Raw genomic sequence first — 14969 nt, 5'->3', positions numbered from 1 at the left:
TCTATCAATTCATTTACAAAAACAAAACTTGCTTAGAAAATTCAGTCATACAAAGTTTTCTATCTTGATAGCATTCTGATTTGTTCTTTTTAATTCTTAAATCTAATTTTCAAGAAATGTATTTTTTCCTTGGGCTGCCATAACAAACTGCCAGAAATTGGATGCCTTAAACAAGAAAAGTGTATCGTCTCCCAGTTCTAGAGTGGCTAGAAGTGCAAAAATCAAGGTGCTGGAAGGATTGGCTTCTCCTGAGCTCTGTGAGATCTCTCCTAGTTCCCAGCAGCCTCAGGCACTCGTTGGCTGTAGATGGCCTTCTCCCTGTGTCTTTACATGTCTTTCCTTTATCCATGTCTATTTCTGTGCCCAAATTTCCCTCTTTTAATAAGGATACCAGTCAGATTAACGCCCACCCTAATGACCTCATCTTAATTTGATCACTGGCAAAGACCTTATTTCCAAATAAGATCACATTCACAGTTTCTGGGGGTTAGGATTTTATTCTGGTTTGGAGGGACACATTTCAACCCATAAACAAGAAGGAAAAGAGGCAATGTGATTCTGAATCACTGGTTACAATATCTGCCTTTCCAAGTTTGACCTTTTAAAAATGACACTGCCACCTGAGGCTTCCAGTCCCACCATCTGCTTTCTTTTCATATTTGCATAATTAACTCTCTCCTCTCCTTTTTTTTACCCTTTCCCCATCATTTCTCTCTTTTTTTCTGTGCAATGTGAATATCTAAGAACTTGATGCAGACTTTTGAGCCTTCTGTTTTTTTGTCTTTCAATTATCTCATTCATCAGATTAGCTTTAGCCACTGTGGATTATAACCTGCAGTTACTTGTTTAGCAGGGACTTCTAGGAATATATAGTCCTTAAACCCAGGGAAGAGGGGTCTGTGAAGAAGAGAAACATCAGCATCAGTGATGAGATGAATAGTGGCCAAGGAGAGGTGGGATTCTAAATCTGCAAGTCCATTAACCCGGGTCTGGACAATTGAGAAAATTCCCTGTAAAACTACTGATAAAATCTGTGCAATTCTTCCTGGTTGAGACAGGATGCCTCCTCATCCCAGAACCTGGCTGTTATTGTAGAGTAAAATTTGCCCTGGTCTGAAATGTGTATTTATGCCAAGGTGCCACTGGTGCTTCTGAAATAGTCCCTCAACTTACCCCTAGCAATATATACGTAGTACAAGAACCAGGTAAGCCCACTAGAAAATTAATCTAAAGCTCCTGGATCTAGGACTAGTGAGCAATTAGCATCTCTGTGGTTGGTGCTTTTTAGCAAGAAAAATCTAATTGTGTTTTAATGGTTTCTGGGACTGCAGTGTCATGAGTATTATTTCTTCTCTTTCAATCTACGTTTATTACCATGGATTAAATGTGTTTTTCATATTTCCCTCTGTACATTCTTGCTTTATATGTGTGCCTGTTCCAGATTGCATTCTAAGATTGTAAACTGCCATAGTAGTGTTCCCCAAACTGTGGCATGCATAAAAATCATTGAGAAATTTATTTTTAAAAATCCGTATATAGGTCCGGGAACAGTGGCTCACACCTGTAATCCTAGGACTTTGAGAGGCCGAGGTGGGTGGATCACCTGAGGTCAGAGGTTCAAGACCAGCCTGGCCAAAATGTCAAAACCCCATCTCTACTAAAAATACAAAAATTAGCTGAGCATGTTGGCGCATGCCTGTAATCCCAGCTACTCAGGAGGCTGATACAGGAGAATCACTTGAACCCAGGAAGCGAAGGTTGCAGTGAGCTGAGATTGGGCCACTGCACTCCAGCCTGGACAACAGAGTGAGATGGAAAAAAAAAATTCTTGTATGGGTTTACTACCTAAAGAGATTCTGAATCAAGATCTGGAAGAGGGATCTTAGAACCTGTATTTGTAACAAGTACCCTCTTTGGTTCTGATACAGCTGATCCTTGGATCCCATTTTAAGAAACATAAACCAAGAAGGTGGGAACTGATTTCTTTTAAGATTACTTATATCACTCATGAGGATTGCCCCAGGCCGGTAGATATTTAACCAACTCTAGTTGTTGGCTGCTGATGTTAATTGTCTGCTAAGTACATCTTATGGCCAACTTGCTGTACAGAAATTGAGTTTCATATAGTCCATTAGCCACTGAGAAACAGAAGAAAAGCCTGATGGATTTTCTTCCTGAATGGTAGAGATGAGCATCAATGTTTAAACAAGCCTGGAAAACTCCCTCTTTTCTTTGATGCCCTGTAATTCCTTTATTACAACGGGTCTTGTGGATTGCTATTTTTGTATGGATAACAACATATAGATGAAAAAGCATTTGTACGTACAGAGATGTACTCATTTCTCCCTCTCTGTGGCCCATCACCCTGTCACCTCTCTTCACATTTTCCTGCTGTCAGTTGAGGAAGATGCATTTATTTTATCAATCACAAAAATATTGCCCACAAAGAGAAGTACCTCATTAGGGCCAGAAGCACTGTGCCCTAGCTAAATAAATTTTCACCTAGCAGGCAAGGAAAACTGAGAAATACAAGCCCCCACTAGGGCTAAGGTTCCAGCATAGACAGAGCCCTAATTTTGATGCCTCCAGCAGACACTTCCTCTGACTCCCTTTGGGGAAGCATAGCACCCCACGTTCCCCTTATCCCATGACAGCCCTTATCTAGAATTGCATCATTGACAGTTCACTTGTCTGAATCTCATTCTAATTTCTCCTTGAGGAGTAGGAACTATGTCACAATCATCTGTGTATCCACAGCTCTTGGCAAACTGCCTGACCTAAAGTAGGCGATGAATCAATAAACTAAGCTCCTGGAAAAGTAGAGCTAGTTCTCCTAAATGCTTCTAGGGAAATTCCTAGTTTCTGTGGTGGTGTTGGGTCTGTACTGGAATTCACCCGGCAGCCCAGCCAGTTCCCAGTGTCTCCACCTTGCGTTGCATCTGCTTCACTAGATTTGTTCTAGAAGAATTGGTTGGAAAGAGATTTTTTTAAAAATCATCTTAAGCTCCCAAATATAAAATGTCCAAGGTACAGAGCAGGCTCAGAAACATGAAGGAGTGGTGTGTGTTGTGGCGTTAAAAACATTCTCACATCCGTCAAGATTCTGAATCTAACCCTTCACAACTGAAGTTACATTTGGAAACTACATATAGATTTGCTCAAAAACCTACAAATATTATTAAAAACATTTTCTCTCTTTGTTTTCCCACTGTTTCTCTTCTTATATCTGTATTTTTATTTATTTGATAAAATATGAATCAGGTGAAAGTTGGAAGAGGCTATCTGATGATTTGGCAGTTTATCATTCGCCATCTCCTAAAATGTGCCTAACGCATCTGGACACTGGAAGCAGGCAATAAGACATTTTCTCAACCCCATGAAGAAAAGGGGAGGAAAATTCTATCCCCTTGGAATCTTCATGCTCCATCTTACCCATCCATGGTGCTTGCAGCTGAGCCATTTTCTACCTTTGATGCATCCTTGGTAGAAAAAGAAAGCACAGCCTTTATAACTGAGAGTCTAACTGTAAATAAAACAGAGTCTAAGCTTTGAGGTATAACAGGAAATGGAATGATTTCATTTAAAATCTGATGACTCTAACACCTGGTGGTTTAAAGCACTGATATATAAAGAAGCAGGCAAAACCCTGAAGAAGCCAAAAAAAGAGAAACAGTGTTGAATTTGCTCTTTGGTACAGATTCTCTCTTGATATTAATACTAAGAGTGGAGCACCAAGGCTTTCTCCTGCTTCCTGTTTACAAGATGAAGTGGCATCATGATTCAGGGCAGAAATTTTAGAATCAGACAAAACTAGATTTGAATGTTGCCTGGACTTGGGAAAGTTATTTCAACTCTGGAAACCTCAATTCACTTATCCAGGAAAATGATTAAAATACCTCATGGAATGTATGAATAATGTCTCTTTAGACAGCATATATAGGCTATATAGAGGGAGCAGTTAGCATAGTGCCTAGCTCATTACAAATGCTCATCCAGAGTGGTGGCTCACGCCTGTAATCTTAGCACTTTGGGAGGCTGAGGCTGGCAGATTGCTTGAGTCCAGGAGTTTGAGACCAGCATGGGCAATATAACCTTAGTCTGTCTCTGCTAAAAATAAAAAATTAGCTGGGCGTGGTGGCACATCTGTAGTCCCAGCTACTCAGGAGGCTGAGGTGGGAGGATCACTTGAGCCTAGAAAATTGAGGTTGCAGTGAGCCAAAATTGCACCACTGCATTCCAGCCTTGACAACAGAGTCAGACCCTGTCTCAAATAAATAAAATAAAATAAAATAAAATAAAAATGTTCCACAAAAGCAAGACATTATTAAATTTTGAACAAAGGCAAAAGAGCACTCGGAATGGAGATTGGCTCCTGGTTGCTGAACTGTCTTATTTTATTCTTACACATCCCTTCTCTTCCCCTTCTCCAGGTTTTTGCATGAGTCTAGGTTACTGTATTTTTTCTTCTTAAGTTCTCCTGTCATTTTTAGTACACTATTTTAACCCTGTGAAGTTGCTGATATTTCATCATTTCAGACCTGCAAAAATGGCTGTTTCATAGGATCCAACCAAATATCTTTCCACAGGTTAAAAGCCATTAGCCATTGTTAGAAGCTTTTCTAAATGAATAAACAGGTTGGGATAATTATTTTCAGCAGGCTCAAATCATATCATTATAATTAGTTCACCCACTGAACTTAAATGGACCCTAGGACACAGTACTTAGCTCATAAAAAATCTCTTTACTATAAGCTTTACATTAAAGCACCTGTGATTAGTTGAATTAAAAGATTCTTCTGTGATTCACAACAAGAATTTTACAAGAAATTATGTGCTATGTAACTGAAGATTTTAAAGATAATTTTTATAAATATAACCCAAAACTGCTTTCTTTTTTACCATCTATGAAATCAAGAAACCATAGAAAGTGTGGATACAGAAAATAAAAACTTCCTAGGCAACAACCTCACACAATACAAAAATAATCAAATGCTGGCAGAAATGGTCCCTTGGAAATCGTGGCTCATTTGTTTAGAGTTCTACTGCTATTAGCTTCTGGTGATCAGGGAGTGAGAAATGGAAAGTATGCCACAGAGAATCATTAAGAACAACACACTAGATAGAGATAACCCATTTAGCTGACAAGCCACACAATGCAGTTCGAATTAAAAGCAAACAAACACATGAAAACAAAGAAAAAATGTAAAACCAGTGGAGAGCATGAAGACTCTGAAAATCCTGACAGATTCCTAAAGTCTCCACAAACAAAGATTTCAGTGTTGGCCGGGCGCAGTGGCTCACGCCTGTAATCCCAGCACTTTGGGAGGCTGAGGTGGGTGGATCATGAGGTCAGGGGTTCAAGACCAGCCTGACCAACATGGTGAAACCCTGTCTCTTCTAAAAATACAAAAATTAGCTGGGCATGGTGGTGGGCACCTGTAATCCCAGCTACTCAGGAGGCTGAGGCAGGAGAATTGCTTGAACCCGGGAGGCGGAGGTTGCAGTGAGCTGAGATTGCACAACTGCACTCCAGCCTGGGCAGCAGAGTGAGACTCCATCTCAAAAAAAAAAAAAAAAAAAGAAAAGAAAAAAGAAAAAGATTTCAGTATTATTGTCCTAAACCAAGAAAAAATGCCAAATGTGCTTTTAAAAGCTAGGAAAATGAAAAGAAGACAAATTCTGAGGTGGAACCCGGCAATGTTAAAATGAGAGGTTTAAAATGCTTGAAGGGTCCTCGCCTCTGTGGCTTTAAACAACCAGATGCTTCTGCAGAGGCAGCACCTCCATGGTCAGTCCTGATCCGAGTGCAGAGCCCAATCTGGAACCTTCCAGGCATTGCCAGAACTCCTGGGGCTCATTCCTTTGGCTTTCCTTGTGCTGTCACTTACTCAAAATAATAGAACCAGACTTTGACCTCTGAAGACTAAATTAATCATTATGTCCACTTTGAAAAGTTTTCTAAACGCTTGCTGATGCAGAAACTGTACTGATATTCAGAGAATCTGAGAGTGTGATGTGCCCACTATGGGCCCAGAGCAGAGTGGGGTCCCCTCTCTGAATGCATAGGATAGGCTTGGGGGATGCTCAGCTACTCTCTCTGGGCTTTTGGCAGTGTCATCATTGAGCAAAACCTGCTAAAGGGTTACAGCATCCTTGCTTTCTTACCCTTTCCCTCACCTACAGCTTCTCATATTTGAGAGGAGTATAATGATTGCATAAGCACCGAAGGATTTCCCAGTGGGGTTATTGAGATATGAAAGGGATGACCAGAATTTTTGCTTTCACATACACACAAAAGTGTTGAGGTATATTCTCGATTAATAATAGCAGAGTCAGAGATGTGGATCATTTCAGGCTTACAACATGAAATGCTTTAAAATTATTAGATGTATTTAACTGATAAAAGCTAGAAAATCAAGTCAGATTTGTTTGCCATCGAAGGAAGACTTTTACCTGAATTTATTTGATCAGTGCCTCATACCTTCTTGAATTTTTCTCTGTATGAGTAAACTTTTCTTTTACTTATCATAAAAATAATTGCTCCAAAAAGAAACATAGTTAAATCAGCTCTTTGATAAAATATATTCTATCTTCTCAGAATTCAAATTTTTACAATAAAACAGTCAGATCTGTTTGTACAAACATGGCCATTTAAGGCCAAATGAGTTCTTCACAATATTTTATTCTCCCAAACCAGTTAGTTAATTGTATAGGTTTTAGTCAGAAGAATGGCCAGTCACTATACAGCTGTATCCCTTTACAACACCAGGATCAAAAGGAATCCACCTGGATGCAAATCCCCACACTCAGGCCTCTCTTTGCTCAGCCACTCTCCTCGCCATTGGCCAGGTGGCTGCAAGCCTGTCTCCCTGGCCCCCTTCAGGTCTTTGCTAAGAGTCACTTTGGTGAGGCCTTCCCTGCTCACTTCTGTTCAAAACTACAAGCCCACCCATCTGCTCTAGTTCCTATTGTACTTCCCTGATTTGTTCATCTCAATAGGACCTTTATCCTCTTCGTTGTTATATATATTATTCATTTTTTATGAAGATTTCTCCTTCCTGTAAGGTGAGGCATCTCTGCCTCTTCTTTGTTGCTCTATTTTCAGGACCTAAAAGAGTGCCAGGCACATCGTGGGTCATAAATAAAGACTTACTAAATAAAGGAAAGAGACACTTGTGTGATTGAAAGTTTGCTTTGCAGCCATCTCTGTAGTCACTCACTATGAATGGAATTAATTTATATATCTAGGAAAATATATCATAAAACGTCTCTGCAGGGCACATCAAATGTGCCAAAACAAATAGTGACAATAAGTGCGATACATTATTTTGGGGGCATTACGAAACCAAACATACAAAAGGGCAATCTCTGAAGAGGAAAAACACCACAAAAAAAAATCTGTTTGAGCGAGAGACACATTCTCAAAAGTGCTTTGCAATGCTTAGAACAGGACAACAATAAATAAATAGTACGCATACCTGTAACGATTATGAACGGGTGAGTTGGCTGCCTCTTACCGTGGATTTTTAGCTTCTTCACAGGTGACTGCAGACGTTGCCAAATATTATGAACTGAAACCAAAGGAAAGATTCCCCTGAGCTGCTGACAGAGCTACCTGCCAAGAGTTTCATGTTTCTGAGTTGGAGCTGCAGTCGAACGGTGAAAGAGGCTTCCTGTAGCTAATGAGCCCTTTTCCAGGTGCTCTGCATTGCTGAGGCCATACAGAAGTCAATGCCCTGTCAGTGATTGCTCAAAGGAACTCTCTGGAGTTTAATTGGGCTTTCTGATCTGATCATTAGGCACAGCTATTGGTGTGTCCCCAGGTGACCTGAGATGCCTGCTCGGTAGTTATTGCTCCCTTCTTTGGCACTCACTAGAGGAGTGTTTACCATTTGTTGAGTTATAGAACAGAAAGGGCAGAAGAGGATTTAGTACAACATGTGATGGCAGCCCACAGTTGCTATTTAACCTCACAGGAGGTGTCCTTCATAAACTAATTCAACAGCGATGGCACGAGCAGCATCTATTCTGCCTCCAGATGGAGGAACAAGGGTGATGGTATGGCTTCTTCCCTCTGCTTCCATTTTCATTTGCTGCTAGCTTTCTTCTCCCCTTATAGTGGGCTGGGGGTATATGGGTGGTCTCAATTCCATGACATTTTATTTCCCAGTCATTTGGTGAAGACCGTCCAGGGAAAATTGCTTTAATGGCTGAGTCAGCAACATAGCATGGAATTCTTGACTCCTGGCTAGATACTTCATTCTATTCTAATCCTATGGAGGCAAGAAGAACTTCACAGATTAATTCACTTTCTCAAAAGAAAAACATGTGCACCCTATTTTCTTTAGAAATGAGCATTTAGAGTTTGCTACCGGAGTAGGGAGGATGAAGAGTGCAAAGGTTCAACTTCTGGTCTCTGCCTCTGAGCACTGCCTCGCTGCCGAGTAGGTATGCACACTTGGTGAGTCAGGAAGCCCCTTCATGTCCCAATTTTCCTGACTATGAAACAGGGATAATAAAAGTATCTACCACCCAGGGTTGTAGAGAGAATTTAATGAAACCATGTACATAAAGCATTTAAGATCATACCTGACACATAATCTTTCAATAAATCTTCACTGTTGCAATTATTTCTGGTTACACATTATACACAGAAAAATGCATTAAACTCTTCTTAACATGAATATGTGATAAATTTAGAGCACTGCATAATCTTCCAGACACCTCTCAAGCATCAGTGCTTATGAGACCAGGAGGAGATAAAGGATGATTATCCACAGTCTTAACTACATTTCAGCTGCAACCGGTCAACTCTATTTTCATCAGGCTTAAGAAGTAATTACCAAGCTGATGTTTATTTCATCATCTCTGTCTCCTTCTCGGCACCACCTGGTTCAGGTGCTGATCAACAGTGCAACTTGTCTGCTGATGATCAGCAGTGCAACTTGTCTGGGAAAAGAGAAGAAACCAGGGAAAAGGAGAAGTCAGTAGCCTGGATGATCCCCAGCAAAGCAAAGGCTTCGAGTTAGTGAGTGGGATCAAGCTGCACCTTCCCATCTCAGGACGTTGGTGATTTACCCTTGAGTTCAGGGTCTGCTTGGAGCCTGAAGGAGCTGGCTCTTGAAGATCTACTGGCCAGTGATATGCAGGTCCACATTGTACTTTTCTACTGTTACAAACCTAGGCTGAGCCACAGAGAGTTAAAATGATGTTAGTAAATTTGAAAACTCCTGGGAGTTCATTGCATCAGCAGCACTGGGCTTCAGCTTAGGTGGAGGTGATGAGGAGCTACAGGACACAGTTGAAGGCACATTAGGAAGAAGATCATCTTCCTCTTTGTCTGCACCCCTCCCAAGCAACAAATCTCCACACTGTGGGCTGTTGATTTGGGCTGAGACTGTTGGTTGTCTGCCAAAATCCATATTCCTTTACTTCCAGAATAAAACAACAGCAACTGGCAAAGGAGGAGACCATGTGACTAAGTTCTCTCGGTGAACGATCAGCCCAGATGGAGTGCTTCTCCTGAATCTGAGCTCTCAAGACAGCAGCTGGGCCTCCACACTCTCCTTCCCCTCCACTTCTGGCTGCATATAACCAGAGGCCTCACCAGAGGGGCTCTGAATGACCACATAAAGGAAATCCGTCCAATAACCCAAATATCCACACTGGACTGTTAGGTGCACGAGAAATAAAATTCCATTGTGTTTGAATCTTGGATGACAGTTTAGCCTATCCTAACACCCTGCCTGAAATTTCACTTTTGAAAATATACTCCTTTGAATTAAGGCTTTTTTTCTTTGTTCATCCCCAATAAAAGACATACCTATCTGGGATATATAAAATATCATGCTTTCTTAGTAATTTGTTCTTAAATGCTTCAATCAGAGATTTACTGAGAACTGATTACAGCATGAGTCAGGAAGGAGAGGACATTTGAAAAGCGAGGAATACATAAACAGAGAAGAGACCAGGACCCTGAAAGACTGGGCGAGAGTGACCTTTGTGTGTTTCACAACTTTGCATGAATGTTGACAGACTTAATAAGGCCAAATTCCATCTTCCTCATGTTTACCTGGATGGATGGGTTGGCTTCTCTCTCCTCCTAACTGAGGAAACAGCTCCCATGGGTGATTGCTGTTCTCTGGGGCATGTTTCAGGGAACTCCACTGTATGGTCTGGGCACCCACCATGTGCTGGCGAATGTACATGATGTCCTTTCTCCTCCAGGGGTTAACAGACCTCCGATGCTTACAGCTGGGCTTCCCACAGAGTGAGGTGGAGCTCACATCTAGTAATCAAGCTCTGGGTCACTATGGCCATTGGATCCTACTGGACAAAGTGATGGTGGTGGATACTTTTCAGATTTGTACCTGCTTTCAAATAAGTTTTGATCTTTTGGACTAATTTGGGATTTACTGCTCACTCTAATTTAAACTATTTCATTTTAGGTTAGTGGAACTATTTCAGTTTAGTAGAACAGCATTTATTGAGCACTCACTATGCGCTGGGCATTAGGAATTTTCTGAGGCATAGATAGAATTATTTTTCCTTTGAAATGAACTTTACCTCCACATACACATCTGGAGTTGCCCATATTCTGGGAGATGGGCAGACCTCATCTGAGCTGAGCTGAGCTGACCTCCTTTACTGCAGGAGCTGGGGCTGGAGGAGAACATGAGCTATGTCAGAGAGGTAGAATAGAGATGCCTTCTTCCTCATCTTCTCTCCTATCCTTCTTCCCCAACAACGAGAGACCACTGAACTCTACTCAGCTCTTAGATTTTCATTCGCATTGGCTCCTAATACAAAACCCTGGATCAACAACAAATCTTTGTTCTCTGCATAAAATCTTGGACCATTATTGAGGAATCTGGGCCAGAAACAAATAAGACCTCTATTCATCAGTTTCCATTTGTTGCAGGACTCAGGTTGTTTCTGGGATAGCTCAGTTACAAGATCTTCCTTCGATAGGGAAGGGGATGATGGCATATGATCTGTTTATTCATTCCTAAGCCAAACAGGAAGACTAACAAACATTGTTGTGCTGTCCTCCTGAAACTGAATTCTTATTTTAAAAATCTTCACCATGCACTCTGTTCATTTTGATGGTCATTAATTCCACTCATTTAATCTAAAAGAAGGAAATAAATCCTTAGTAAAGCACTATTGAAATAACCACCATGGGCACTGAGAGAGGCGATACACCAAATGCCTCATTTTGTCTAGAGACCTTCATTTTTAGCAACAGGAAGAAAGATTTCAAATGTGTTTGGTAGTAAGAATGGTATTTATATTTTTATTCCTCAAACTGCCAAAGAGAGGAGCTCTTGGCATGGGTGGGAAAGTCACTACAAAGAAGTGGGGAAGGAGTAGGGATCCCAATTTTTGTTTCAAATCAATGCCTAATCCAATTTTTATTTACTAAAATGAAGCTGATACTTACTCCTAAATCTTTTTTCCCATTTGGTTCAGAACTCATAGAACAGGTTATGTGATCCATTATCACTCTCAAACCCCATGGTAACCAGAATAGATAATTAAGAAAGACTATTCACATTGGTAATCTGTCACAGGAATAGACAAAAATATAAAAAAGAAAGAATGTTAACATCCTTATACATATACTCAGGTTCAGATTTGGTTTATAAAAATTGTTTTCAAAATGTTTTTTGAAAGTGAAAGTTCCAACATACATTTTAATATATTTGTTCAGTTTTTGTTGTTGATCAAATTCAGGGTCACCAGTGGGTGAATTTCATAAGCAGTGACAAGGTGGAAGACTGTGGTACATCAAATCAAAATTGTGATAATATTGAGAACCCCTAGTCTTGTAATAGGAAAGAGATTTTGTTGATGTGTGATTCACATATTTTGTTGATATGTCTATGATTCAGGGGTTATTTTGTAGTTATCTGGAAGAAAAGAAAAACATTTATGCATTAATCAGATTTTTTTTTTTCAGATGGAATCTTGCTCTGTTGCCCAGGCTGGAGTGCAGTGGCATGATCTCGGCTCACTGAAACCTCCACCTCTCGGGTACAAGGGATCTCCTGCCTCAGCCTCCCAAGTAGCTGGGATTACAGGCGCCCACCACTACGCCCAGCTAAGTTTTGTATTTGTAGTAGAGACAGGGTTTCACCATGTTGGCGAGGCTGGTCTCAAACTCCTGACCTCAGATGATCAGCCCCCTTCTGCCTCCCAAAGAGTGGGGATTACAGGCGTGAGCCACCATGCCCGGCCAATCAGATTTTCTAAGTAAGTATTTAAGAACCAAAACAATTTCTAATGCAATATAATGCCCCAAATTGAACTTCAACCAAATGTAAATCAGTACATTTGTAAGGTCTCCTTTTAATATATGCTAATTTAAAATATATACATATTTCACTGATTTTAATGTACAAATTAGTAAGTATTTTTGCAAGATAAAGAACAAAACTATAAAGTTTCACAAACAGAAATGGATCTAATGGGTCATTTAGGGAGAAAGTTGTCTCTCTCTAAGAAGTTTTACTAGACTAAAGCACAAGATATTGTATTAGTCTGTTTTCATGCTGCTGATAAAGCCATATCTGAGACTGGGAAGAAAAAGAGGTTTAATTGGACTTATAGTTCTACATGGCTGAGGAGGCCTAGGAATCATGGCAGGAGGTGAAAGGCACTTCTAACATAGCAGTGCCAAGAGAAAATGAGAGAGATGCAAATGTAGAAACCCGTGATAAACCCATCAGATCTCGTGCGACTTAGTCACTACCATGAGAACAGTGGTAGATAAACTGCCCCCTTGATTCAAATTATCTCCCACTGGGTCCTTCCCATAACACATGGGAATTATGGGAGTACAATTCAAGATGAGATTTGGGTGGGGACACAGAGCCAAACCATATCATTCTGCCCCTGGCCCCTCCAAATCTCATATCCTCACATTTCAAAACCAATCCCCCAAAGTTCCCCAAGGTCTTAACTCATTTCAGCATTAACCCAAAAGTTCACAGTCCAAAGTCTCATCTTAGACAAGGCAAGTCCCTTCTACCTATGAATCTGTAAAATCAAAAGCAATCTAGTTACTTCCTAGATACAATGGGGGTACAGGTATTGGGTAAATACAGCCATCCCAAATGGGAGAAAATGGCCAAAACAAACGGGTTCCAGGACCCACGCAAATTCAAAATCCAGCGGGGCAGTCAAGTTCTAAAGCTCCAAAATGATCTCCTTTGACTCCATGTCTCACATCCAGGTCACACTGATGCAAGAGGTAGGTTTTCATAGTCTTGGGCAGTTCTGCCCCTGTGGCTTTGCAGGGTATAGCCCCACTCCTGGCTGCTTTCACAGGCTGGCCTTGAGTATCTGTGGCTTTTCCAGGTGCACGGTGCAAGCTGTCAGTAGATCTACCATTCTGGGGTCTGGAAGATGGTGGCCCTCTTCTCACAGCTCACTAGGCAGTGCACCAGTAGGGAGCCCGTGTGGGGACTCTGACCCCACATTTCCCTTCCACACTGCCCTAGCAGAGGTTCTCCATGAGGGCGCCTCCCCTGCAGTGAACTTTTGCCTGGATATCCAGGCGTTTCCATACATCTTCTGAAATCTAGGTGTAGGTTCCCAAACCTCAATTCTTGACTTCTGTGCACCCGCAGGCTCAACACCACATGGAAACTGCCAAGGTTTGGGGCTTGCACCCTCTGAAACCATTGGCCGAGCTGTACCTTGGCCCCTTTTAGCAATGCCTAGAGCAGCTGGGACGCAAAGCACCAAGTCCCTAGGCTGCATACAGCATGACGACCCTGGACCTGGTCCACAAAGGCATTTTTTCCTCCTAGGCTTCATGGTCTGTGATGGGAGAGGCTGCTCTGAAGATCTATGACATGCCCTGGAGACATTTTCTCCATCATCTTGGGGATTAACAATTGGCTCCTTGTTACTTATGCAAATTTCTGCAGCCAGCTTCAATTTCTCCTCAAAAAAATTGGTTTTTCTTTTCTAAGGCATCATCAGGCTGCAAATTTTCTGAACTTTCATGCTCTGTTTCTCCTTTAAAACAGAATGCTTTTAGCAGCACCCAAGTCACCTCTTGAATGCTTTGCTGCTTAGAAATTGCTTCTGCCACATACCCTAAATCATCTCTCTCAAGTTCAAAGTTCCACAAATCTCTAGGGCAGGGGCAAAATGCCACCAATATCTTTGCTAAAACATAACAAGAGTCACCTTTGCTCCAGTTCCCATCAAGTTCCTCATGTCCATCTGAGACCACCTCAGCCTGGACCTTATTGTTGATACCACTATCAGCATTTTTGTCAAAGCCGTTCAAGAAGTCTCTAGGAGGTCCCAAATTTTCCCACATTTTCCTATCTTCTTCTTAGCCCTCCAGCCTCCAAATGTTCCAACCTCTGCCTGATACCCAGTTCCAAAGTCACTTCCACATTTTTGGGTATCTTTTCAGCAATGTCCCGCTCTACTGGTACCAATTTACTGTATTAGTCTGTTTTCACGCTGCTGATAAAGACATACGCGAGACTGGGAAGAAAAAGAGGTTTAACTGGACTTACAGTTCCACATGGCTGGGGAGGCCTCAGAATCATGGCAGGAGGTGAAAGGCACTTCTTACATGGTGGCAGCAAGAGAAAATGAGAGAGATGTAAACGCAGAAACCCCTGATAAAACCATCAGATCTCGTGAGACTTATTCACTACCATGATAACAGTATGGGGGAAACTGCCCCCATGATTCAAATTATCTCCCACTGGGTCTCTCCCACGACACATGGGAATTATGGGAGTACAATCCAAGATGAGATTTGGGTGGGGACACAGCCAAACCATATCAGATGTATTATATAAATTTATTTTGCTTATATTTTCTTATATTTTGAAATATTTACTATTTTGTTACTTGTACAAGTAATATAATTTCAAGGGAGAAAACTTGGAAAATACAGAAATACACAAAGATAAAGTCTAAGAACTAATTGTTGT

General features: G+C 41.2%; 1 long non-coding RNA gene across 4 annotated transcripts in view, besides 1 other annotated feature; it reads left to right on the top strand.

Moving 5' to 3' along the window:
* LOC105377374 (uncharacterized) overlaps positions 1–14969 on the top strand; it is a 46775-nt gene that overhangs the window by 19791 nt on the left and 12015 nt on the right. For 2 of the 4 annotated variants that reach the window (NR_199847.1, NR_199843.1), the window contains one exon: positions 11963–12255. This is a non-coding gene — a long non-coding RNA (uncharacterized LOC105377374). Of the gene's footprint in view, positions 1–7530; positions 9843–11962; positions 12256–14969 lie in introns of those variants that run through there. The other 2 variants (NR_199844.1, NR_199845.1) reach the window with 2 other exon arrangements.
* Positions 9890–10184: an enhancer, noted in NCBI's record as "tiled region #2369; HepG2 Activating DNase matched - State 5:Enh". NCBI's record gives its function as "activates a minimal TATA promoter and a strong SV40 promoter by Sharpr-MPRA in HepG2 cells {active_cell/tissue: HepG2}" and the evidence as "EXISTENCE:reporter gene assay evidence [ECO:0000049][PMID:27701403]".

The sequence above is a fragment of the Homo sapiens genome, chromosome 4, assembly GCF_000001405.40.
Source record: "Homo sapiens chromosome 4, GRCh38.p14 Primary Assembly".
Taxonomy (NCBI): Eukaryota; Metazoa; Chordata; class Mammalia; order Primates; family Hominidae; genus Homo; species Homo sapiens.
This window is presented reverse-complemented; position numbering and strand designations above follow the sequence as displayed.